Here is a 25,348-nt window from a genome sequence, read left to right as displayed (position 1 = left end):
AATCTATCTCCCAGTGCCAACTCCGAGATAAATGACTTGACCAGGCGTGTGGCATGGATTAAGGCATGAGATAGGTGTTCCCACCACCAGAACGAGCCAGTGGCTGCCTCTCTTCCCTTTGAGCCCTCCCTCCACAGAGACCTGTGAATAGGTGTTTCTGATCCCTAGGCTGGTTGCATCCCAACCCAGAGCAGGCAGCCTTCGGACTTCTAGCATGGGCTGGCCTCAGGACATGGAGCCAAAGCAGGCAGACCTGGCCCTGCCCTCAAGCTCCCAAGCTAAAGAGAGCCTGGCCCTCCCTCCCACTAGGTTTCTCCAGAGCCTGCTGCCTCCTGGTTTGGGCTTCTACTCTATTCTTCCCCCACAGACTCCCTGCAATTTACTGCATCACCTCTAGACTAGCAATTACAGATGGAGCTCAGAACCTACTTCCTGAGCCTTCCTAATCTCAGCAGCCCTGACAGCCACTTCCCTCTTAACACTAATGCAGCTGCTTATTCTGCTGACATTAAGGTCAGGGCCTGGTCCAAGGAAGAGGACAGGTACAGCCCAAGCTTTGCACTTGAACATCCATGCTTCTGACCACCTGCCCTGTGACGCTGGCTCTGTGCCCCAGTCCAGAAAAGACTTCTGCCTACTCCTCCTCTGCCCTACCCAGTTAACTCCCTTTCCTTCCCTCCCTTCTGCTTCTCACTCCTCCCCTCCCTTCTCTTCTTCTTCTCCCCTTCCCCCATCACCTGGGGCCCGATTCAGCTGTGCCCAGCCCTTACTCTGAGTGCCCACAGATGGAGCCTCCAGTAGCTTCTGTGGGGCACCCTTCCACCAGGTCCCAGCTCCCTTGGCTCCAGCAGTGTCCATGCTAAAGCCTCCAAGTGTCATGTTGGAGAGAATGGTGGTCACAGTAGATAAGCCCAAAATGCCTTACAGTTTACAGGCTGGAGTCAGGCCCCGCCACGTGCTGGCTACATGACTTCCCTGAGATTCCATTTCCTCCTCAGTAAAATAAGTGGTAAGATTTTAGGATCCCCAGCACTAAAAAGAAACGAAATACTGATACAGGCTCCAACATGGATGAATTTTGAAAGCATTACTATACTAAGTGAAAGAAGCCAGTCACAAACAAGCACATATTGGATGATTCCATTTCTAGGAAGTGTTCAGAACAGGCAAATTTATAGAGACAGAAAGTAGATTGATTAGTGGTTGCCTGAGGCTGGGGAGCGGGGGAAGGGAGGTGACTACCAATGTGTATGGAGTTTTTCCAGGGTGAGAGGGTGATGAAAATGTTCTAAAATAGATTGTGTTGATGGTTGTGCCACTCAGAATATACTAAAAACCATTTGAATTGTGCACTTGAAACAGATGAATTGTACGGTATGTGAATTCTATATCAATAAATCTGTAATTTAAAAAAAAAAAATTAGGTCGGGTGCAGTGGCTCACACCTATAATCCCAGCACTTTGCCAGACTGAGGCAGGAGGATCACTTAAGCCCAGGAGTTCAAGACCAGCCTGGGGAACACAGCAAGACCTCGTCTCTACTAAAAAATTTTAAATTACAAAAAAAAAAAGTAAAAAAAATAGAATCCTAATAGTACCTATCTCATAGGATTGTGGAAAATAGTAGTAATGTATGTAAAATATTTAGCACATAGTAGGCACAAAGAAATGACATTATTATTAAGAGACCTGGGAGAGCTGTGCCCAGCCTATCGTGGGAGGCCTTGACCTTTGGACTCAAAAGTGGCAGCAGGTCCACCCCCCCATACACCCTTGTCACCAAGGAAGCGTCCACAGCTTAAAGGAGCTATATTAAAGCACCCCAAGTCAAGAGGACTGAACCAGATCTGGAACTCACTCACCTCCCCTCTCACCTCACTGCCCTCACCAGCCAGCCTCTTGTCAAGTGATCAGGCTGTCAACCAACTTCTCTAGGATAAGGTTTCAGGTCAGCCCGTGTGTATAAGACCAGTGCCAAGCCAGAAGCAGCAGAGACAACAGTGAATGACAAGGAGGGGCCATCCAATCCCTGCTGCCACCTCCTGGGATGGAGCCCTAGGGAGCCCCTGTGCTGCCCCTGCCGTGGCAGGACTCACAGGTAAGACCCCTTTCTCCTCCCTCATCCCTTCCCCTCTCCCTCTCCCTTCTCCTTGTTCTCCCTTTCATTGGAGGCTTTCAGAGAGCAGCCCCGAGCAGTCAGGGCTCACTAGCTGCAGCTTGTCAGACCTGATAGAGATTCAGTCCAGCCGCCACCTTATGAAAAGGGAGCTGTGGCCTTGATGAGGGTACTGTGGCAGGGCTGGGGCTTGAACCCAACACCCGTGTCACTCACTCAAGACTCACACCCCCTTTGCCTTGCTGGCTGCCTCTGGTGGGATTTTGCAAATCCCCATAGACAGGAAGTGGCTTTCTTCTTTGCCTGCCCCAGAATCTCTGCGATTCCTCCAGAGCATAAATCCCTCTCTTTCCATGAGGACCCTGGGGCCCTCTTCCTGAGTAGGGATGACAGGGGCACTTCTGACCTGAGGCGTGGTCCAGGTCATTTGCTGGGAGCTTTACAGAGCCCATGGTCTCTGCCCAGACGGCTTCTTCAGTGGGCTGCTGTGAAGGCTTTGCCGGGAGGGTGGGTTGGAGTTGGGGAGGCAACTGGTGTTGGGTAGGATGTCTCAAAATGGGGTCCTCTTCCCCTGCTTCAGAGCTACCACAGGGAGTTTTCCTAATGCAGATTCCTAGGCCCCACCCCAGACCTAAATCAGGATCTCTGGGGCTGAGAGCTGAGAATCTGCTCTGTAAACAAGCAGCTCAAGGGATCCTTGGCTCTCCCTGAAGTCTGAGACTCTCTGGGCAGTGAAACAGGCGCAGCTTCAGATGTCAGACAAACGTGGGCACCAATCTCAGCTCCAGCACTTCAGCTGTATGACTAGCAAAAGCCCTGGAAGCCTCAGGTCCCTGGTTTACGAAATGAGAATAATAATAGCAACTACTTGTAGCCTTATGAAGGGATCAAATCAGTCAGTGTCTGTAAAGCCCTCAGCACGGTATCTGGTGCAAGAAGCAACCAGCAAACATTAATGGACCATGCTGACTAGAACATCCCATCCCTCAGGAGCCCCAGCAGAGCTACAGTAATGAGGGTTCCACTTTTGACTTCTTCCTCCACTGGCCAGTGGCAAAAGGCTGCCGGCTGCTAGGGGTCTAGGAGAGTCTGGAGTGAATTGGGAAGAAGATTGGGGAGTGCTGGCCTCAAGGCACCTCCTACCTGTGCCCACCACTGTGGCTTTCCCTCCTCCCGCAGCTTGACTACTGAAAGTTCTAGAGCCCCAAGGTGGGCTTTTGACCTGAGTCTGTGTCCATCCATTCCATTTTCCATGAGTGGCTAAGAACTGCCCCTCTTGTCAAGTGATCACGCTGAGGCCAAGAGTTCAAGACCAGAATAGGCAACATAGAGAGACCCCCATCTCTACAAAAAATAAAAAATTAGCTGGGTATGGTGATGCACACCTGTAGTCCCAGCTACTCGGGAGGCTGAAGGTGGGAGGGTCACTTGAGTCCAAGAGGTCAAGGCTGCAGTGAGCCTGGATTGCACCACTGCACTCCAGCCCAGGTAACAGAGTGAGACCCTGTCTCAAAAAAAAAAAGGAGGCAGTTTGATATTGGGGAGAACAGATGCCTGAGCCTCGGTTTCCTCATGTATACAGTGCAGGTACCACTATCAGCTCTGCCTACCCCTGGTAAGGAGGGGAGGGAGAGGGTCAGGAGGAGGATTGCAAAATTCAAGGGATAGGAACGTGACCTGTTTTTATAGGCCAAATTCATGCAGCTTAAGTATGGCACCACCCAGGCTTCTCCCTTTCTAAAGCCCCTCCTGGGTAAGGAAGAGTTCCTGGGAGCCAGGCCAGACATCACTCCATCAGCCTTCTCTGGCCTGTCTCCTGCAGCCCCACCGCTGCACTGAAGCCCAGGGCTGTGGAGCAGCCTCTCTCCTTGGACCTCCTCTCGGCCCTAAAGGGACTGGGCAGAGCCTTCCAGGACTATGGTTGGACTGAAGCCTTCAGACGTGCCTCCCACCATGGCTGTGAAGTTCCTGGGGGCAGGCACAGCAGCCTGTTTTGCTGACCTCGTTACCTTTCCACTGGACACAGCCAAGGTCCGCCTGCAGGTAGGTGCCCTTTGGCCAAGGGTCATTGATCACATGGAAGGAGGGGCTAGTTCTCTCCCATATCCCCCATGACGTGTGCCCACATGCCCTTCCTCAGAACCCTGACAAAGACTCTCACTCCACTGCTTAGGACCCTTCCTTGCCTCCTCCCATCACCATCCACCAGGACAAAAAAATCTAAATTCTTTGCATGATGTGACAGGGCCCTTTATGGGCTAGGCCCTACTTTGTAAAGCATGCAGTGTGAGGTAAAAGTAAGGAATTAACTGTGTGACCTTGGGCAAGCCACGAAGCACTTATAAAATGGGAAAAACAATCTGTCCCTCTGATTTACTCTGAGGATCAAACACCAAGCCATGTGTATAATACTGCTTTGTGAATGGTAAAATGCTGCGCAGACACCAGTGATTTCTACTGTGACCAGCATGGTTGTTCTCAGGCCCAGCCCAGGCAGGCCCAGCCCCAGCAGGGTTCCTGTGCACGCAGCCCCTTCTTGCCTTCCCATCTGAGTCCTCACCCCCTGCTATTGTCCCTCAGATCCAGGGGGAGAACCAGGCGGTCCAGACGGCCCGGCTCGTGCAGTACCGTGGCGTGCTGGGCACCATCCTGACCATGGTGCGGACTGAGGGTCCCTGCAGCCCCTACAATGGGCTGGTGGCCGGCCTGCAGCGCCAGATGAGCTTCGCCTCCATCCGCATCGGCCTCTATGACTCCGTCAAGCAGGTGTACACCCCCAAAGGCGCGGACAGTGAGTGACCAGGTCCCTGAACACCAAAGGGGTGGCTGAAAGTGTGTGGGTCAAGAGACCAGGGAAGTCTAGACTCAGAGGCAGAGCCAGGGGCGGGGGGAAGCTGGTACCGGACGCTTATGAGGAGGCTCTGAGTGGACATCAAGGAAGCTGCAGGGGCAGCCCCGCAGAGAACAGCATGTCCCAGAATGCTGCTTAGTAGGGGACACTGGCCCACTCTCTCTGCCCCTCCCAGACTCCAGCCTCACTACCCGGATTTTGGCCGGCTGCACCACAGGAGCCATGGCGGTGACCTGTGCCCAGCCCACAGATGTGGTGAAGGTCCGATTTCAGGCCAGCATACACCTCGGGCCATCCAGGAGCGACAGAAAATACAGCGGGACTATGGACGCCTACAGAACCATCGCCAGGGAGGAAGGAGTCAGGGGCCTGTGGAAAGGTAGGTCTGGACTCTGGACGCAGGCGGTCTTAGGCAGAGCTTTCCCTCCCCTCAGGCTGGGGCAGGGACCCCAGTAAGGAGGGGACTCCCAGCATGGCGTGTTCCAGTGATTCTGAAAGAACATCACAACCAAAGATACTTCACTGACCTGCCACAGCCCCTCAAACTCAGTTCATTTTACCAGCCCTTTGCCATGTGCAGGTTGATGTGAGGGAGCCAGAAATGAACTTAAGACACCTTCACACGCCCAGGGCATGAGGACAGCAGAGGAGATAAGATGCAGCTACACCACAGGCAGGATGTGGTAGGGGTTGCCCCAGAGGTGGAGCTCCAGAGGCGGGCTCTGCAGAGAAGGTGACACCTAAGCTGGGCCTGGAAGACTGAACAGGCTCTAGGTGTGTGGAGACGGAAGGGGAGGGGCCCTCAAGCAGGGTCCGGAGGAAAAAGAGGAGCATCAGAAAAGCACAGCTGTGAGGAGTGGGCGCAGGGAGATGCAACGAGGAAGCGCTTCCTTGGGAGCAAAGCTGGAGGGCTCCCTATGTGTCCACATGGCAGCCACTGCGATGAATGCAGGACTCTCTCCGCATGTGAACCAGAGGTTGCAGGAACGTTTGCAGAAGAAACTGACCCAGTGAAGTTTAAGGGCAGGACACCTCTTAAGTTGGGGCTCTTCACTCACTTGTTGGGCACCCTTCAGAGCTTGTCCCCTTACCTGTGAAACCAGGGGTTTGATCCTGACAGTTTCCTAGGGCCCTGCTGGCACCACATTCTGTCACTGTTCCAAGAGCTCAGCCTCTCGCTGAATGACTTTCTTTTCTGGCTGCAGCTGGGTCTCCAGGAAGCATATTTTAATTTTGACAGCTATTGCAGATCACCCTCCAAATGTGGCCAAATGAACACAAGTGGGCCTCTCTGTTCTCTGTCTCTGAGGAAAACATGGATAATCTGAGAGTTGTTAACCCTAGAAAGGAAAATGTGGAATCTGCTCAGCTGGGGTGGGATCCTCTGGCTGAGACCATTGGAATGGGGCACTATGGCCCCAAAACTGGGGCCTGTGGCCTTGCAGCCAGGGCATCCATTTCTCCCATTTCCCATTCCTCCCTCCCCACCCATTTCACATCCCTCCCCACCGCCTTCCTAACAGGAACTTTGCCCAACATCATGAGGAATGCTATCGTCAACTGTGCTGAGGTGGTGACCTACGACATCCTCAAGGAGAAGCTGCTGGACTACCACCTGCTCACTGGTGAGGCCCTGGGCTCCAGGCAGGCAGCTCTCCCTCAGCAGGGAGGGAACCCAGAACTCCGTGGAGTGGGCACCACCCAGAGGCAACTGGGTTTTAGAAGGAGCAGAGAGAGAAGCAGTGCCTAGTAAAAAGTGCCAGGTACATTGTGGTGACAAGCAGGAAAGACCCCTGGGCTGGGAGGCTGGAGACTTGGGTTCCAGTCCCAGCACCACCTCTCACTATATAGCTTTAAGCAGGGGTCTCTCACCTTCTCCGACTTCAGTTTCCTCAAACAGCCTGCATGACCTCCCACCTCTGGGTCAGCCCAGGCCTAGTTTGCCAGTACTTACCAAGAGCTTAGCCCAGGGCACTGTGAGAGATATGGAAAATACTGTCCTATGCTCAGGGAGTTCACGGTTGAGTTGGGGACAAACAGTGCATACATATGGACAGAACACAAATGCACTCCTTGATATTTGCTTGTCCTTCCTCTGCAGACAACTTCCCCTGCCACTTTGTCTCTGCCTTTGGAGCCGGCTTCTGTGCCACAGTGGTGGCCTCCCCGGTGGACGTGGTGAAGACCCGGTATATGAACTCACCTCCAGGCCAGTACTTCAGCCCCCTCGACTGTATGATAAAGATGGTGGCCCAGGAGGGCCCCACAGCCTTCTACAAGGGGTGAGCCTCCTCCTGCCTCCAGCACTCCCTCCCAGAGAACAGGGGCTTCTTTCTTTTCGAATGTGGCTACCGTGGGTCAACCTGGGATGTAGCGGTGAAGAGTACAGATGTAAATGCCACAAAGAAGAAGTTTAAAAAACCATGCAAGTAAAAGAAAAAAAGTGAACCATACCTGATGGGGAGGGTTAGGGAAGCCTGACTGAGAACAAACACTCCAGGAATAGGTAAAAGTACTGCCTGTCTCCAGAGGAAGTTAGCAATCCTGAGACCTCCTGGACCTCCTGCCATGGCCATTGAGCACCACACTGACCATGGCCAGTGCCTTCCTCACTGTCTCCACACGCTCCACGTTTTCTTGCACTTACTGCTCCCTCTGCGTGGAATGCCTCATCATCTACAGGCTGTCAATTTTAGCCATCCTTCAAGACGAGTTCAAATGCCACCTCCTCCCTAACACTCTCAGGTGTAAATTTTTCCTCCTCCCTGGGAACTTCTGCAATGCCATTTGATACCATTTTTATGGTATTTATCACCTCCTGCCTTGTATTATAGTATTTGTAAGCTTAAATTATTCCTCATGCAAAGAGCAAGTTCCTGACAGCAAAAGTGGCTCAGACATCTTTTATCTCCCACAGTCCCTCACACAAAGTGAGCACTCGATAATGCAGGTTGTTTATGATTATCACAATAGCTAAGTCACTCTATATTAGGCCTCGTGCTGAGCACTTTACACACGTTATCCCAACAGCCCCTTGAACTGGGTAGTATTGTCCACATTAACTAAGGAAAAGACTGAGTGTCAGAAAAGTTAAGTAACTTATCCAAGATCACAGGTTAAAATGGTGGAGCCATGGCTCAAACCCTGACCGTCAGACACCACACCCAACAATGTTGTTTATCCTACTGGTAAGCTCTTAGCTTGGCCCTTTCACCTCCCACTGCTGATGTCTTCAACAGAGAGTTTTTTGGTGCCCAGTGTTAGAATGGACCCAACAAGTGAACAAGAGCTGCTATAGGTTCTCAAGCCTGGGAATGACGTAATAAAACTATACTGCAATTGACAGACTGTTCTTCCAAAAAGTGCCTCTATCATTACAGTCTTCAGCTGTAGCCACTTGTCTCAGTTACTGCTTTCACTTGTCCAACATTTCTGGAGCATCTTGTAGGTGCCAGGCCCTGGGTTATGCCTCCCTCAAAGAGCAGCAGATAAGTTGGTGGTATTTACTGAGCATGTATTGATGCTGGGCCCTGTGCTGAGTGCTGTCCAACATTAACTCACCTAATCTGCACGACTAACTCCACAAGGCAGATACTGTTATTTTCCTCATTTTACAGATAAGGAAACTGAGGCTTAGAAAGATTAAGTGATGTGTCCAGATTGTAAAGCTAGAAACTGGGAGAGCTTGGATTTGAACCCAGGTCTGACTCCAGAGTTTACATTTGTTGTCACAGTACTATCGTCCCCACAAGAGTCAAGAAAACCCATGGCATGAGGTCACAGTGCCCAAACTGAGTCCTCCAGAGCAAAGAGCAACCAGCCAGGGAAGGAGGAGAGGAGGGGACAGTCCAGGCAGAGGGAGCAAGAGGAGCAAAGGCATGGAGGGAAGAGGGCCTGGCATCGTCAGGGAATGTGACTAGCTGAGTCTGGTGGGAGCAAACGGGCCCAGGAGGTGGTTAGTGGAGGGACAGGCTGAGAGAGGGGCAGGGGCCAGCTCGTGGGCTTCTCCCTGAGTTGGTGAGCCACAGCTGAGGTGGGGACACTGTGCTATGCCATCACAGCACAGCCAGCCTCTCTGGAGAAGAGCTAAATCTGGTGCCACACTGTATTCACCCTGCAAAGCCCAAGCTTCTCCATGTCCTGGCAGGGGGCCATGTTAGGGCTGGCCACCCGGGGTGTAACTGAGCCCAGAAACACCCAGCAGCAGGGTGGAGTTAGAACCGCACCTCTGACACTTACTAGCCGCGGGTCTTTGGTTGAGCTCTTAACCTCCCTGGGCCTCAGTTTGTGAAAAAGAGCCTGGCAGCAACATGGCTGCCTTATAGAACTGTGAGAATTCGCTGCCTAACACAGTAACCCGTCTCAAAACGTGAGTTTTTTTTTCTTTTCCTTACTCCGACTTCTGCCTAAATCCCCTTAGCAGAAAAAAAAAAGAGAGAGAGAGACTGAAAGGATTCAGAAAATGCTTGTGATGAACAGAAGTCTGGATCCTCTGGCACTACCACTGTGTCCCGGGAGAGCACACGCATCTGTTGTGGTCCCCTAGCACTCCACCTGATGTGTTGGTTGTTTTTCTTATCAGATTTACACCCTCCTTTTTGCGTTTGGGATCCTGGAACGTGGTGATGTTCGTAACCTATGAGCAGCTGAAACGGGCCCTGATGAAAGTCCAGATGTTACGGGAATCACCGTTTTGAACAAGACAAGAAGGCCACTGGTAGCTAACGTGTCCGAAACCAGTTAAGAATGGAAGAAAACGGTGCATCCACGCACACATGGACACAGACCCACACATGTTTACAGAACTGTTGTTTACTTGTTGCTGATTCAAGAAACAGAAGTAGAAGAGGAGGAGGGATTCTGGTCTTCACTGCCATGCCTCAAGAACACCTTTGTTTTGCACTGACAAGATGGAAAATAAATTATATTAATTTTTGAAACCCATTAGGCATGCCTAATATTTAGGCAAGAGAAAATAAACCAAGATAGATCCATTTGGACAAAATGGAAGGTTGGAGACGTGTATCCCCGTGAAATCTGGTTAGATAATGAATGATAAGCAGGAAGGATGGCAAGCACGGGACAGGAGGGGCCCACAATGGAGTGGGAGATCAGCCACGGAGCCTGGAGGGATGCCACCCAGCAACACAGAGCTGGCGACTGCAGCTGCACCATCACACATGCATCATCAGCCTATTTGTAATATGTCTGCCACAGAGAGTCCTTTGGGATTCTAGGAAACCCAAGGAACAAGAGAAAAAACTAGAGCCTGTGCTAAAGAAGCCCTGCTGGGCCCATGTGAGGCTGGGGCTCGTAAATATTCCCTGACGACACTGAAGAATCAAGAGGGCAGCCCCCACTTTCCTACAAAATGGAGGGAGCCATCCCTTCCCTGTCCACCTCACCAGGGGTGCTATGACATGCAAGTGAGAAGCTGGGCATGAACGCACTTTATAAAAGCAAAAGCTCTGTGTAAATCTAACTACAAGGACAATGCCTTGGGAGAGATTTTGTCGGGACAGAGAGGAGTTGCCAGGGAAGAAGGTTTGAAAGATACGGTTGTCTAGAGGTGAGACCAAAGGATCCAGAGACTTGGGGACCAGAGGTGACAGTGGATGACGTGAAGCCACAGGAGCCCCACCCCCATGCAGCCTCTTCCCCACCCCCCCCACCACGTGCTCAATCATGAGTACCTCAAAGGATTGTTGGGCTTGGGGGAAAAGAGGTGGATTCCTGGGCAAGAACCTAAAGTAGCAGGACTCGGAATTCTCGGGAAATTATTATGACTCAATAAAAGAATTCACACCTTAGGTGTGGGAGTAAGAACAGCCACTTCTCTGCCTTTTCTTTCTTGGAATTTTCCTTTCTCACTTCTATTTCAGGCTTTCTATGTGTCAGGGCAGGGCCAGATCCAGCCCCACATGCCTACACTTCATCTGCCCCCTCTCACCCTGTTTAATTGCAGGCAAGTAGCTTTATTTTTTTAGGGTTCCAGCTCCTGCTTCTGCAAAAGGCAGGGTTGAACCAGACGACCGACTTCCAAGCTTAAGACTGTACATTTTTCGAATTGATAATGGGGACCCAAAATGCCACTATCTTTTTCTACTTCTTGGCAGCCTTGCGTAGCTCTGATGATTGTCAGGACTGGGTTCAAACCTCACCCCATTCTACCTTACTAACCACCTAGCCACAGGGAATCCTTGCACCTTGGTGTGCTACCAGAGAAGTGGGAATAACAATCGCTGCTTCACAGGCTTGTTGTGAGGGTTGACCTAAAACTCCTTGGAAAGCAGACATGTGGTGTGCACCTGCTACCTGGGAGGCTTAAGCGAGAGGACTGCTTGAGCCCAGGAGTTCAGGGCTGCAGTGAGCCATGACTGCACCTGTGAATAATGACTGCACTCCAGCCTTGGCAACAGAGCATAACTCCTTCTCTGAAACAAAACAAACAAAAAATCGTTGGCATACAGGAGGCACTCGGTAATGTCATTTCCCTGCTTCCCTGCTCCTACCCCTCCAGACCCTGGGAAAAAGCAAATATCTATTCATCCTCAGCACTTTCCTAAATTTAAATTATAACTTGAGATCATCTATGTATACAAACTGGAGAGTTCATACAAAAGCAAAAAAAAATTATTTTGATTTAATGTCTGGCTTGGTTTTCAAATAAAACCCATATTTTGAAAAGTTTCCGGTTGGTGCAGTGGCTCACGCCTTTGGGAGGCCGAGGCGGGCGGATCACTTGAGGTCAAGAGTTTGAGACCAGCCTGGCCAACATGGTGAAACTCTGTCTCTACTAAAAATACCAAAAAAAAAAAAAAAAATTACCCAGGCATGGTGGTGGGTGCCTGTAATCCTAGCTACTCGGGAGGCTGAGGCAAGAGAATCACTCGAACCCAGGAGACTGAGGTTGCAGTGAGCCAAAACCACACCACTGCACTCCAGCCTAGGCGAGACTCTGTCTCAAAAAAAAAAATTAAATTGAATTGAATTAAATTAAAAGTTTCCCTTTTTAGCCAGGCATGGTGACATGTGCCTGCGGTCCCAGCTACTCGGGGGGCTCAGGTGGGAGGATCACTTGAGCCCAGGAGGCGGAGGTTGCAGTGAGCCGAGCTTACACCACTGCACCCTAGCCTAGGTGACAGAGTGAGACCCCATCTCAAAAAACAAAAACGAAAAAAGAAAAAAGAGTTTCTCTTTCTTTTGACTTGACTGACATGTGCAAATCACTCTCAAACTCCTGGTCTCAGTTTGTAAGTTTCTAGGGCCAGGAACTATATCTTCCATGAATTTCCATATGGCAATATTAACACACCACCTACCCAGAGGATGCTATTCAGGTGATGATTCTGAGAAAGGGAGGATAAAATATTCTAAGAGATATTTTGACTGGGATCAGGAGCCTACTAACTGCCAAGTCTAGCCTTTTGGAGAAAGAAAAACGAGATTGGTGAGTCTTGTGAGGTTTCTAGGCCAAAATACTAGATCTCTTTCTCCACTGTTTTTTTTTTTTTTTTTTTTTTTTTTGAGTCAAAGTCTTGCTCTGTGCCCAGGCTAACACAATCTTGGCTCACAGCAACATCCACCTCCCAGGTTCAAGTAATTCTCCTGCCTCAGACTCTCGAGTAGCTGGGACTACAGGTGCGTGCCACCACACTCTGGCTAGTTTTTGTATTTTTAGTAAAGATGGGGTTTTCACTGTGTTGACCAGGCTGGTCTCAAACTCCTGACCTCAGATGATCCACCCACCTCAGCCTCCCAAAGTGCTGGGATTACAGGCGTGAGCCACTGCTCCCAGTCTCTTTCCCCACTTCTTAAAGGCAGAGATTCAACCAGATGACCTGAAGCTCTTTAGTTCTGTGATTCCAAGGACTGAGAGACAGTTTCTCCCAGGCTACGGTGTGAACACCTTTTCAACGCTGGCCTCAATTTATGCTTCCAGGAAACCAGGGATGTGAATTCATGAGAAGGTCAGATTACCAGCTGAGGCCAGTTTCTAAGTTCTGTGCATCCATTTCCCCACCACACTCCTAGAGACACCACCTCCAGTCAAGTGATTCAAAAGAAATCTGCTTTTTCTCAAACTCTTCTACTACGTCAGGCAGAAATAAGATAGTTAGAGTCCTGACTCAGTCCCATTTGTGACATAATGGATAATTCACATAAATGTTCTAAGTAATGGTAATATTTTTTAAAAGAATATTTTATTCAGAAGGAATGAATGTTAAGTAAGGAAATATTATTATAGCTCTGTAGATGAGTTTGTTTCAGGGCACTTTGAAAAGCACAGTGTGCTACATGAATGAAAATATTCATTGTACATACATTGTAAGCCATATGTTATGTTAGGTGCTGGGGTGAACAAGACCAGTCCTGTCCTCAAGGAGCTCACTGGGGTGGAGGATGGTGGGGCAGGAAAGACAAACTGCAAACCATCAGTCACCATACTGGGTGATCAAAGCTACAAATAGAGATGTATACAAAGCACCCAAGAGCAGGTACACAGATAAGGGACATCTGACGTGGTTGGGGGGCCAGGAAGCTTCTTGGAGGAAGACACCTAAAGGTCAAGTAGGTGTTATGCAGGTAAAGAAAGTGAAGTGAAAGTCATCCTAGGCAAAGGGAATGGTTCGTGCAAAGGCCCAGAAACAAGATAAAAACATTCAAGGTACATCCAAGGGATTGTCAGCTGTCAGTATGTCTGGGTTGCAGACTTAAAGATCTACTGGGGAGACTGAGGCAGGAAAATCGCTTGATTGCTTGAACCCAGGAGGTGGAGCTCACAGTGAGCTGAGATCGCACCACTGCACTCCAGCTGGGCGACAGAGCGTGACTCTGTCTCAAAAAAAAAAAAAAAAAAAAGAAACCTCCTTTCCATTTTTTTAGGTATATACCCAAAGTGCAAAGTGGAATCATGGAATCACTTGGTATGGGTAATTCTATATTTAATTTTTTGAGGGACCATCATACTGTTTTCCATAGCAGCTGGACCATTCTCATTCCCAGCTGCAGTGTATAAGGGTTTGTTTCTCCACATCCTCTTCAACACTTATTTTCTGGTTTTTGATAGTAGCCATCCTAATGGGTGTAAGGTGGTCTCTCATTGTGATTTTGATTAATGATTAGTGATGCTATGGCTCTTTTCGTGTGGTTATTGGCCATCTGCATATCTTCTTTGGAGAAATGTCTATTTAAGGCCTCTGCCTATTTTTGAATGAAAATTAAAGAACTACAATTTTATGTAACTTGGATGAATCTCACATAGCGTTGAGTGAAAGATACAAAATAGTACATATAGTATCATTCCATTTATATAATGTTTAAGAACAGGTAAAACAAATATTTGGTGTTAAAAATCAGGATACTGGTTATTCTTTGGGTGAATAGTGACTGATGGTAGACACAAAGGATCACTTCTGGGTGTTAGTAATGTTTCCTCATGTGTGCTCATTATACAGGGATGTTTGCTTTATAAAAGTTATTCATGCTGTATACTTAGGATTTGTGCACTGTTTTATATGTGTTTTACTTCAATAAAAGTTTACTTTAGGCTGGGAGTGGTGGCTCATGCCTGTAATCCCAGCACTTTAGGAGGCTAAGGCGGGAGGGTTGCTTCAGTCTGTAAACAGATTTTTTTTTTAAGACAGGGTATCACTGTTACCCAGGCTGGAGTGCAGTGGCGTGATCACGGTTCACTGCAGCCTCCAGACTCCTGGGCCCAAGCAATTTTCCTGCCTCAGCCTCTCAAGTAGCTGGGACTACAGGCACCTGCCACCAGGCCCAGCTAATTTTAAAATTTTTTATAGAGACAGGGGCTCGCTTTGTTGCCTAGGCTGGTCTTGAATTTCTGGACTCAAGTGATCCTCCCACCTCAGCTGCCCAAGTCATTGGGATTACAGGTGCTAGCCACCATGCCTGGCTACTCTTGCTGGTTTAATGATGGGAAATCTTTCACCAAAAGTTTGCAAATTTTCATATGAGCATCTGGACAACTTTTTTAAAGACCTACAAAACGTTCAAAACACTGGTGAAAAAGAAGTACAGAATAGAGAGAAATTTTGATCAGGCACTTACTCTGAAAAGCACAACACTGTGTCTGTGTCTCAGTGATGTGGTCACACAACCAAAACAACCCAACTGTGGTTTTCTTCTCAGTATCTTACACTGTGAAAGCCTTCTTGATTTGGAACCTGTGACTTGCAGCAGAGTTCTAAACAAGAATTGTATATTGCTTGTTTCATGGCTCCTCTCACCAATGAATCCAAATCCATCAGAGTAGAGCTCCTCAGCATATTAGACCAGTTATCCAGAAGTCATCCCCAGAAGTCATATCCCCGTTTCTTTTACTTTCCAAAGGTACAAGATCTCAAAAACTGTCAAGATATATTTCACCATTGTTATTCTTGCTATATTATTATTATGTCTTGGAGTTATGATCCTTGAAGTAATTCATGCTTCACATGTGCTTACAATGTTGAATGATGGGATGAGAGAAATCTTTTCCATTTGATAAAATAAAACCACAAGGAGGGTTTGCTTGTGTCGTATGGGTGCCCATAAAGCATTGAAAATATTAAGGAGCAAAGTGGATTTGCAGGATTTCTGTGGATATGTCACTATGCTGTACCATCTCATCAACGCAAACAGAAAGTGTGGTGATGCTTCTGATGAAAAAGGAAAACCTGATTTGACTTCCTGCTTTGAGCAGATGAGAGGACAGAGTCATTTGAAATGGTCATTGAGGAAGCAACCACAGATTCAACAACATAACAGAAATCTTAGGTTGCTACAACAGAAACAGACTGGGTTCCTCTTGAGCTATGCTTGTAATTCCACTGTTTAGCTCTGAATTCAATGAGTTTGTAGGAAAACAGTCACACTACAAACCTTGCAGAAAAGAAAGCCTTCAAAAACTCTTACTTTCCAGTAGAAAACTATATATGTTCTTAACTTTATTCACTCATTCTAGGAAGTTGCTTTAACACTAGATATTCACATTCAGGCTGGTTTTTCCAGTTTTCTTTACCTAAATCTTAAGTTCTACTTCTTGAAAAGAATGTAATGTGTAGAGATGGCATCTTATCAGAATGGAGAGATGGTCACCTTCCTCACTTCTCTCTGCTAATCTTCATTGGTATTAATTTTTTCACATAACTTGTTATTCACACTTTGTGTCTTTTTTCTTAAATACCTTTAAGAAAAAAGCTTTTATAAAGCTTTTATAAAGCTTTATACTGCCAGGCACTAAAAAGAATCCTGCTGGTGCAGAATAATTTAGGCTTAAATTATGTTCAAAGTGTGTTGTGTTGTAGTTTGGGTAACATTTAGTATTGTCTGGTGTCTTGATCATTATAACACATCCTAATTCAACAAAGAGCTTTTTAGCAAAAAGCACTTACTATATTTTTTACCTTGAGACAATCTGCATTTTTTTATAAATCTAAGGATAAACTTTATAGACTTTATGATAACTGTTAATGTAATGTCATTATGAATATTGGTGATTTTCAGTGTTAGTTTGTCAAACGTATATCTGGTTTAATTTTATATTTTGTTACCTACACTCTGGAGGATAATGGAGATTTTATTCTTCCTGTGAAAAGGCTTCTTGGTATTTAAAGTAGCAAAAGTATAAAATAATGAACATCCAGTATTGAGAAATGATATGATGGAACATTAAAAATTCCTGTGGATATTTATAAATTATATGTCAGTTAAACCTTGTCAAAGGTATGCAAATCAGCATACCTTAAGCTTGTTTTAGAAGGTCTCAACTCAGACTATGAAGATTCACTGACATCTTATAAGAAGCCTTGGAAAACATTCTCTTTTTTTTTTTTGCTGAGACGGAGTCTCACTCTGTCACCCAGGCTGGAGCGCAGTGGCATGTTCTCGGCTCACTGCAACCTCTGCCTCCTGGGTTCAAGCGATTCTCCTGCCTCAGCCTCCCCAGCAGCTGGGACTACAGGCATGTGCCACTGCGCCCAGCTAATTTTTGCATTTTTAGTAGAGACAGGGTTTTGCCATGTTGGCCAGGCTGTTCTGGAACTCCTGACCTAGTGATCTGCCTGCCTCGGCCTCCCAAAGTGCTGGGATTACAGGCATGAGCCACTGCCCCTGGCCATTGCTTTTTAACCCATTTCGAATTTATTCAAAGTGCAACAAGCCATCCTTAAGAGAATGCTAAAATGGGCCAGGCGTGATGGCTCACGCCTGTAATCCCAGCACTTTGGGAGGCCGAGGTGGGTGGATCATTTGAAGTCAGGAGTTCAAGACCAGCCTGGCCCACCTTTACTAAAAATACAAAAATTAGTCAGGTGTGGTGGCAGGGTGGCAGGTGCCTGTAGTCCCAGCTACTCCAGAGGGTGAGGCAGGAGAATCGCTTGAACCCAGGAGGTGGAGGTTGCAGTGAGCCAAGGTTGTGCCACTGCACTCCAGCCTGGGCAACAGAGTGAGACTCTGTCTCAAAAAAAAAAAAAAAAAAGAGAGAGAGAGAGAATGCTAAAATGGTCTAATTTGCATTTTGGTTTTTTTCCTTTTATTTTTTAGAGACAGAGTCTTGCTCTGTTGCCCAGGCTGGAGTGCAGTGGTGTGATCACAGCTCACTGCAGCCTCAACCTCCCAGGCTCAACCTCCTGAGTAGTTTGGGTGATCCTCCCACCTCATCCTCCTGAGTAGTTGGGACCACAGGAACACACCACCATGCCCAGCTAATTTTTTTTTAATTGTTTGTAGAGATGGGGGATCTCCCTATGTTACCCAGGCTGGTTTTTGATTCCTGGGCTCCAGTGATACTCCCTCCTTGCCCTCCCAAACCACTGGGATTACAGGCATGAGCCACCACACCTAGCCATTTTCTCCCCATTTTTGTTAACAGTTTTATTGAAATATAATTCATAATAGCATACAATTCATCCATTCAAAGTGTACAATTCAGTGATTTTTGGTGTATTCACAGAGTTGTGCAACCACCACCACAATCAATTTTAGATCATTTTCACTGCCTCAAAAACAAGCCCCCATACCCATTAGCTGTCATGATCAATCTCCCCATTCCCTGAAGCCCTACCATCTGTCTTTATATATTTGCCTGTTCTGGACATTTTATATACATGGAAACACAATGTGTGGTCTTTCATGACTGGCTTCTTTTACTTAGCATAATGTTTTCAAGGTTCATCCACGGTATAGCATGGATCAGTACTTCATTCCTTTTCTTCTTTTTTTTTTTTTTTTTTTTTTTTTTTGAGATGAAGTCTTGCTTTTGTCACCCAGGCTGGAGTGCAGTGGCACAATCTCGGCTCACTGCAAGCTCTGCCTCCTGGGTTCACGCCATTCTCCTGCCTCAGCCTCCCGAGTAGCTGGGACTACAGGCGCCCACCACCACGCCTGGCTAATTTTTTGTATTTTTAGTAGAGACGGGGTTTCATCGTGTTAGCCAGGATAGTCTCAATCTCCTGACCTCATGATCCGCCCGCCTCGGCCTCCCAAAGTGCTGGGATTACAGGCGTGAGCCACCATGCCCGGCCACTTCATTTCTTTTCATTGCTTGGATATACCACATTTTATTAGCATATATCCGTTCCGCAATTGATGGATGTTTGGGTTATTTCCATTTTTTTGGCAAACGTATTTTTTAAACAATGTTTATATGTAAGTCTGCTGCTCACTTTGGGTTTTTCTTTTCACAGAATTTTTTAAAACTTTTTTAGAGATGTGGGGTCTCACTATGTGGTCCAGACTAAACTCAAACTCCTGGGCTCAAGTAATCCTCCTGCCTCAGTCTCCTGAGTAGCTGGGACTATAGGTGTGAGCCACTGTGCCCGGCTTCTTTTCATAGACTCTTTATGGAAAAATAGAATTTGTTTCCATCTTGGTAGCAATGGTTACTGCATACCTTCACTCTGATTTGAGAATTTTTGGACCAAGCTCTGCTTCTTCTCTGAGTATGGAGAAGGCAAAAGGCAGGGAGTGGACCTCCTCAGAGAAGTCGAGGGAAGAGGATCAGCAGGCTTCTAATCAACCAAACACAATTGCTTTGCCAGGAACATCAGCAAAGGGAACCAAAGGACAAATTTCTGCTAAAGGTGAAAAAGCGCTCTGCCCAAAGAAGGCAGCAGAGTATAGGGACAACCCCAAACCTCAGAAGAAGATACTAATCCCTTCATTACCCTCTAAACCGCAACCTGTTAATCGGCTTCACCGGGACATTCTGTGGGCCTGGTGTCTATAATTAAAGGCAAAGCCACACAGGCCTTTGGTGCCAGAAATAAGCTCCTGTGTGCCTTTGCCTATCCAAATCAAAAGAATTTTCCTAGCACAGCAAAAGAGGCCAGAATCCGGAAATCATTACCAAAACAATCAAAGGTGGACAAAGGGGAAATTACCCCGAAAAGCCCTGAGGAGACACATCCTCCTAAAGTAGCTCTTCCCCCTGGGGAGGGGTTGCCTGACCTAGAAGAGTCTGCTGCTCTCCTTGAGGGAGTTAATACAGTTGTGGTGACAACTTCTGCCCCAGAAGCTTCGCTGGCCTCCTGGGCCAGAAATGCAGCCAGGGAGAAGGCACCAGAAGCAGTGGGATCTCCACATGAGGCCCATGGTGTCAGGTGGCTAGTGTCCATGGGAGAAGACTCCCTGCAGACACAGATGGTTGGCTTCACCTCCAGTTTCATGCTGGACAAGGCTGGGTTCCAGAAAAGCAAGAAGGGAGAGTGAGTGCACTCTTTTTGCTTCCTGCCTCCAATTTTCCACCCCATAACTTGAAGACAATATGTTGTGCCCCAAATGCGTTCACAGGTACAAGGTCTTAATAAAAAGCCTCCGGTGGGAATAGAATATCAGGAAAAAGACCACATCTGTGGTAATTAATGGCAGAAAGGCTGGACAGTTGATTCCGTGGTGCTGCTGACAGGTGAACTCTGGTCCTCTCCACACCTGCTTATGGGCCATGCAGACTGGTGGGGTGGCAGATGTTAGCCTAAGACCCCTAGCAGTGACTGCTGCTTCGTGGGTGGACATAAAAGACTCTTAAGTTTAAAAATGGAAAAACATTTTACAAATTACCATAAATTCTAGTTAACACATAGAAAAACTCATTCATACTACCCTTCTAAAATAGAAATGACTTCAGCAGCTCTTTTAAGTGGGAACCTCTTCAGCTGAGCATTGTGAAGGAGTTGAGAAAACAAACAGCAGTTTGCTCCTGTGCTCAATTTCCCTGACCCAAATGCTGACTACTTTAGGAGCTGCTTCATTCCAATTGCAATTACATAAAATGTAAAGTATTTTAAGGCAAAGAAAGGCTGTTAATTCTCTCCTTCCCCAAAACACGTGATTTTCAATATTCAAAACAATATTTTTCAAAGTTCTCTTAATAACCTGCGATTTCTACAGGTTGGCTCCAGGATAAAAACACGAGGCACTTTGTATTACTTCGCTTATAATTCTTTTGTTTATTTCCAGTATTTAAAATGTTTAAGGTTACTTCCCGTTCATACATACATAATACATTGAATAGAAAATGTGTTTATTAGCAGATTCTCCATAAACAAAAATAAGATGTGTTTATAAAATAATTCATCTATTGTATTTAGGGAACTGTATGTATTGCATGCAAATTATTGTTAGTGTTCTTAAAGTAGGATTAAACCAAAAAGCATGACTTTTCTTTTGCATAACTCATTTGTTTGTTTCTTTATCAGTTGGTGGTATGGGTTGGATCGTTTGTTTTTATTTATTTATTATTATTATTTTGAGACAGTCACTCAAGCTGGAGTGCAGTGGCGCCATCTCAGCTCACTGCAACCTCCACCTCCCAGGCTCAAGAGATTCTCATGCCTCAGCCCCTGGAGTAGCTGGGATTACAGGCGTGTGCCACCATGCCAAGCTAATTTTTGTGTTTTTAGCAGAGATGGGGTTTCACCATGTTGGCCAGGCTGGTCTCTAACTCCTGGCCTCAAGTGATCCACCTCCCTCAGCCTCCCAAAGTGCTGGGATTACAGATGTGAGACACCACACCCGGCCCATCTCATTTGTTTTTAAAACCACTTTATTTAGGTATGATTGATGTACAAAAAGCTGTATATATTTAATGTATCCAATTGAGTGTAATTAATTTTTAATATTTTTTGTACTTCCTAAATGTATAGTCCCATGAGTCTGGGAAGAGATCTGTTTTTCACTTGTGTTTTAATGGCAGTTTCCAACATTGTTTTGTTATTACAAGTAGGTGATTTTTTTCCCCTTTAATTAAGATATTAAAAATAATGTGCTGATGGCCAGGCATGGTGGCTCACGTCTGTAATCCCAGCACTTTGGGAGGCTGAGGCGGGTGGATCACTTGAGATCAGGAGTTCAAGACCAGCCTGGCCAACATGGCAAAACCCTGTCTCTACTAAAAATGCAAAAATTAGCTGGGCGCAGTGGCACATGCCTGTAATCCCAGCTGCTCGGGAGGCTGAGGCAGGAGAATCGCTTGAACCCAGGAGGCGGAGGTTGTGGTGAGCGGAGATCGCGCCACTACACTCAAGCCTGGGCGACAGAGCGAGACTCCATCTCAAAAAAATAAATAAATAAAATAATAATAATAATAGTGCACTGAAAGGAGTGGCGGAGTTGGGAAATTCGTAACCATCATAATATACATGTAATAGGTTTGGGAAAGAATCCTCAAAAATGTTAAAGCGAGGGAGGAAAGTTTGTTGAGAAGCAAGATGTTTTCATGGTCTCATAGTGTTGTTCCCTTCCGCCCCCTCTTGGTTGTTGGTGGTCAGAATTGTTTAGTGTAATAAATAATATGGACATTTAAAAAATTGTTTTTTGCTTAGTTGCCGTACGAATTAATATAAAATTGAATTTGATGTTTACAAACCAAGGATTTTGGTTTTAGGTTAGAATTACACTTAGAATCATTAAGGCTATGTCTTCAGATCAAAACATTCTAGTGATAAACCTACGATAGGGACATACTCTGGACAGGCATGGCGGCTCATGCCTGTAATCTCAGCCCTTTGGGAGGCTGAGGTGGGAAGTATTGCTTGAGATCAGCCTGAACTACATAGCGAGACTCTATCTCTACAAAAAAATTTTAAAATGAGCTGGGTGTGGTGGTGACCGCCTGTAGTCTCAACTACTCTGGAGGCTGAGATGGAAGAATCACTTGAACTCAGGAGTTTGAGACTGTAATGAACTCTGATCTCTGATTGTGCCACTGCATTCCAGCCTGGGTGATATAGCAGGACCCTATCTAAAAATAAATAAATAAAAATAAAATAAAAGATGTAATCTTAGGCAAACTGATCTTAAATTATGCTAGTACACTTTTAAAAAATAATTGAATAAGTTTCAAAGGTTGTCTTCGGTCATTAATTCGTTTAGTATCTCAAATGTTAATTAGAATAATTGGTATCACTTTTTAGATTTTTTGAGTTACCTTCCTTAGGAAGTCTGTGCCATGTTATAATTTAATTTAGTTCTTCTATAGTATAATTGTTTACTAGTTTAAAACTGTACCCTAAGTGACCAAATAAGATATCTGGCAAACAAAGAATTTGAGAATGTTATTACGTAAATACTTTCGCTGACTTTTTCTTCTTTATAAAACTAGTTGTAGCCAGGCACTACACATAGTAGCTACAGGCACGGTTCGTGCCTTAATCCCAGCTACTCAGGAGGGTGAGGTGGGAGGACTGCTTGAGTCCAGGAGTTCAAGGCTGCAGTGAGCTATGATCATACCACTGCACGCCAGCCTCGGCAACAGAGCGAGATCCTATCTCTAAAAATAAAATAACAAAACAGACTATGTGTGGCTTAACTTCTATAAATATATGTCTTCCTTAAGAGTGTTAATATAAGCATGTGTTCAATACTATGGCCTATATATAGGATTTAATATTTTTCACCAGGTTGGCATTGTCAGTGCTGTGTTTGGGGTAAATATAATAGTTTTCTACTTTGTCTTACATGAGGTACAAACTAAAAGTATGTTATAAAGATTTGTCTATATAAGAAAACTAGGGTCAGGCATGGTGGCTCACGCCTGTAATCCCAACATTTTGGGAGGCCGAGGCGGGTGGATCACCTGAGGTCAGGAGTTCAAGACCAGCCCAGCCAACATGGTGAAACTCTGTCTCTACTAAAAATACAAAAATTAGCTGGGCGTGGTGGCAGGTACCTGTAATCCCAGCTGCTCGGGAGGCTGAGGCAGAAGAATCGCTTGAACCCGGGAGGTGGAGGTTGCAATGAGCCCAGATCATGCCATTGCACTCCAGCCTGGGCAACAAGAGTGAAACTCGGTCTCAAAAAAAAAAAAAAGAGAAGAAGAAGAAAGAAAACTAGGTGGAGTGTGGTGGCTTGCACCTATAATCCCAGCACTTTGGGAGGCCGAGGTGGGTGGATCTATTGAGGCTAGGAGTTCAAGATCAACCTGCCAACATGACGAAACCCCACCTCTACTAAAAATACAAAAAATTAGCACGGCGTGGTGTGTGTGCCTGTAATCCTAGCTACTTGGAAGGCTGAGGCAGGAATCGCTTGAACCTGGGGGGCAGAGGTTGCAGTGAGCCAAGATCTTGCCACTGCACTCCAGGCTGGGCGACACAGCACAACTCTATCTCAAAAAAAAAAAGAAAAAACAAAAGAAAACTAATATATCAAAATAATTTCTAGTTAGTTGGATTCACTCACTTATTCATTCAATGACTTATTGAATTATCATATATTACTAGTGCTTTTTAATACATACCTTCTACAATTTTTCAACTGAAAATTACTTCATTGATCAGGGCTCTTTAAACTGATCTCCATTTGCATTGTTTTACTAACTATAGTTATTATTCATGTATTAGCACTCTGAGCCTACTGTAATGATGTGTACCTTAATAAAGAACTGAATATTTGTAATGGCTGGCAGTGAATTTAGTAGTTCTTGAATTTAGAGCTCAAAATATGGGAGTAATTTGCTGCTTTATTTCCTTTGAGAGGTAATAGAGGAAAAACAGAATCTAATAACAATCACAGATTTTCGGGAAAGCACTGTAAAACCATATGATCAATTCTAGCTTCTTATGTAAACATGGAAAGATTGCCAGCTGAACACCTGTCATGCTCTAAGAAGTTGGGGAGAATTTGCATTTTTAGAACTGTGAGCAAAATGAGAACGACTGCTATGTTCATGCTTTGTGAATTTAGCTTTATTTCATTCACACAATTCATGGGAAAAAATGCATCTTTTAACTCGGTGTTTTTCAATTCAACTTTTAAAATACAGGAGTGGGCCAGACCCGGTGGCTCACACCTGTAATCTCATCACTTTGGGAGGCCGAGGCAGGTGGACCACAAGGTCAAGAGATAGACACCATCCTGGCCAACATGGTGAAACCCCATCTCCACTAAAAATACAAAAATTAGCTGGGCATGTTGGCACGTACCTGTAATCCCAGCTACTCGGGAGACTGAGGCAGGAGAATCGCTTGAACCTGGGAGATGGAGGTTACAGTAAGCCGAGATCGCGCCACTGCACTCCAGCCTGGCGACAGAGCAAGACTCCATCTCAAAAAAAAAAAAAAAAAAAAAAAAAAAAAAAAAAAAAAACCAGGATGTGTTACCAAGGAAAATTCATTTACAATGGTTAATTATGTGACAAACATGTCAAGTAATTCCATCTGGCTTTGTGTCACCATTTCCCCACCCTTTTTTCAGAAACCAAAACCAAGAAGAAGAACAAACATCAAAATGGACATGGAAATTAACAAATATATGATTCAATTTAATCTCCTAAGAGGTTTTTTAAAATTATTTTATTTTGAGACGGAGTCTTGCTCTGTCGCCAGGCTGGAGTGCAGTGGCAGGATCTCAGCTCACTGCAACCTCCATCTCCCAGGTTCAAGCGATTCTCCTGCTTCAGCCTCCCAAGTAGCTGGAACTACAGGCAAGCACCACCACACCCAGCTAATGTTTGTATTTTTGGTAGAGATGGGGTTTCACCATGTTGGCCAGGATGGTCTCGATCTCTTGACCTCATGATCCACCCGCCTTGGCCTCCCAAAGTGCTGGGATTACAGGTATTTTTTATTTTTTTTGAGACAGGGTCACCCTGTCACCCAGGCTGGAGTGTAGTGGCACAATCATGGCTCACTGCAGCCTCAACCTCCCAGGCTCAGGTGATCCTCCATGTCAGCCTCCCAAGTAGCTGGAACTATAGGCGTGCAACACCATGCCCAGCTAATTTTTGTATTTTTTGTAGAGACAGGGATTTGCCATGTTGGCCAGGCTGGTCTTCAACTCCTGGCCTCAAGTGATCCACCCGTCTCAACCTCCCAAACTGCTAGGATTACAGGTGTGAGCCACCGTGCCCCATCTCATCTGCTAAGTGGGTTTAAAGA

General features: G+C 46.1%; 1 protein-coding gene and 2 pseudogenes across 4 annotated transcripts, besides 3 other annotated features; all 3 read left to right on the top strand.

The window, feature by feature from the left end:
• Nucleotides 1,743–2,382: an enhancer, noted in NCBI's record as "H3K27ac-H3K4me1 hESC enhancer chr11:73719739-73720378 (GRCh37/hg19 assembly coordinates)". NCBI's record gives its function as "activates a minimal SCP1, AML or CMV promoter by ChIP-STARR-seq in naive H9 embryonic stem cells {active_cell/tissue: H9 hESC(naive)}" and the evidence as "EXISTENCE:reporter gene assay evidence [ECO:0000049][PMID:30033119]".
• Nucleotides 1,991–10,799, top strand: UCP3 (uncoupling protein 3). Of its 4 annotated transcripts, none has more exons than XR_007062495.1 (7): nucleotides 1,991–2,098; nucleotides 3,939–4,159; nucleotides 4,697–4,907; nucleotides 5,143–5,346; nucleotides 6,491–6,592; nucleotides 7,069–9,336; nucleotides 9,550–10,799. XR_007062495.1 is itself a non-coding variant. In NM_003356.4 (7 exons), exons 2-7 carry the CDS (start codon nucleotides 4,034–4,036, stop codon nucleotides 9,662–9,664), a joined length of 939 nt encoding a protein of 312 aa, NP_003347.1. In that variant the 5' UTR covers nucleotides 1,991–2,098; nucleotides 3,939–4,033; the 3' UTR covers nucleotides 9,665–10,799. The 4 variants fall into 4 exon arrangements, 3 of the variants coding, with proteins under 3 accessions (NP_003347.1, XP_047283475.1, NP_073714.1); NM_003356.4 differs by having other exon boundaries at nucleotides 7,069–7,249; XM_047427519.1 differs by having other exon boundaries at nucleotides 1,991–4,159; nucleotides 7,069–7,249.
• Nucleotides 2,516–2,696: a silencer, noted in NCBI's record as "fragment chr11:73719425-73719605 (GRCh37/hg19 assembly coordinates)". NCBI's record gives its function as "represses an EF-1alpha promoter that drives an FKBP-Casp9 reporter gene in an ReSE screen in K562 erythroleukemia cells {active_cell/tissue: K562}" and the evidence as "EXISTENCE:reporter gene assay evidence [ECO:0000049][PMID:32094911]".
• Nucleotides 5,862–7,061: an enhancer, noted in NCBI's record as "MED14-independent group 3 enhancer chr11:73715060-73716259 (GRCh37/hg19 assembly coordinates)". NCBI's record gives its function as "activates an origin of replication core promoter dependent on BRD2, BRD4, P300/CBP and CDK7 cofactors, and independent of MED14, by STARR-seq in HCT116 cells {active_cell/tissue: HCT116}" and the evidence as "EXISTENCE:reporter gene assay evidence [ECO:0000049][PMID:35650434]".
• Nucleotides 14,895–16,099, top strand: LOC100421622 (family with sequence similarity 91 member A1 pseudogene; annotated as a pseudogene).
• Nucleotides 18,896–21,772, top strand: DPPA4P3 (DPPA4 pseudogene 3; annotated as a pseudogene).

The sequence above is a fragment of the Homo sapiens genome, chromosome 11, assembly GCF_000001405.40.
Source record: "Homo sapiens chromosome 11, GRCh38.p14 Primary Assembly".
NCBI classification, from domain to species: domain Eukaryota; kingdom Metazoa; phylum Chordata; class Mammalia; order Primates; family Hominidae; genus Homo; species Homo sapiens.
Note: the sequence above shows the minus strand (reverse complement) of the source record. Positions and strands in the feature narration are given on the sequence as shown.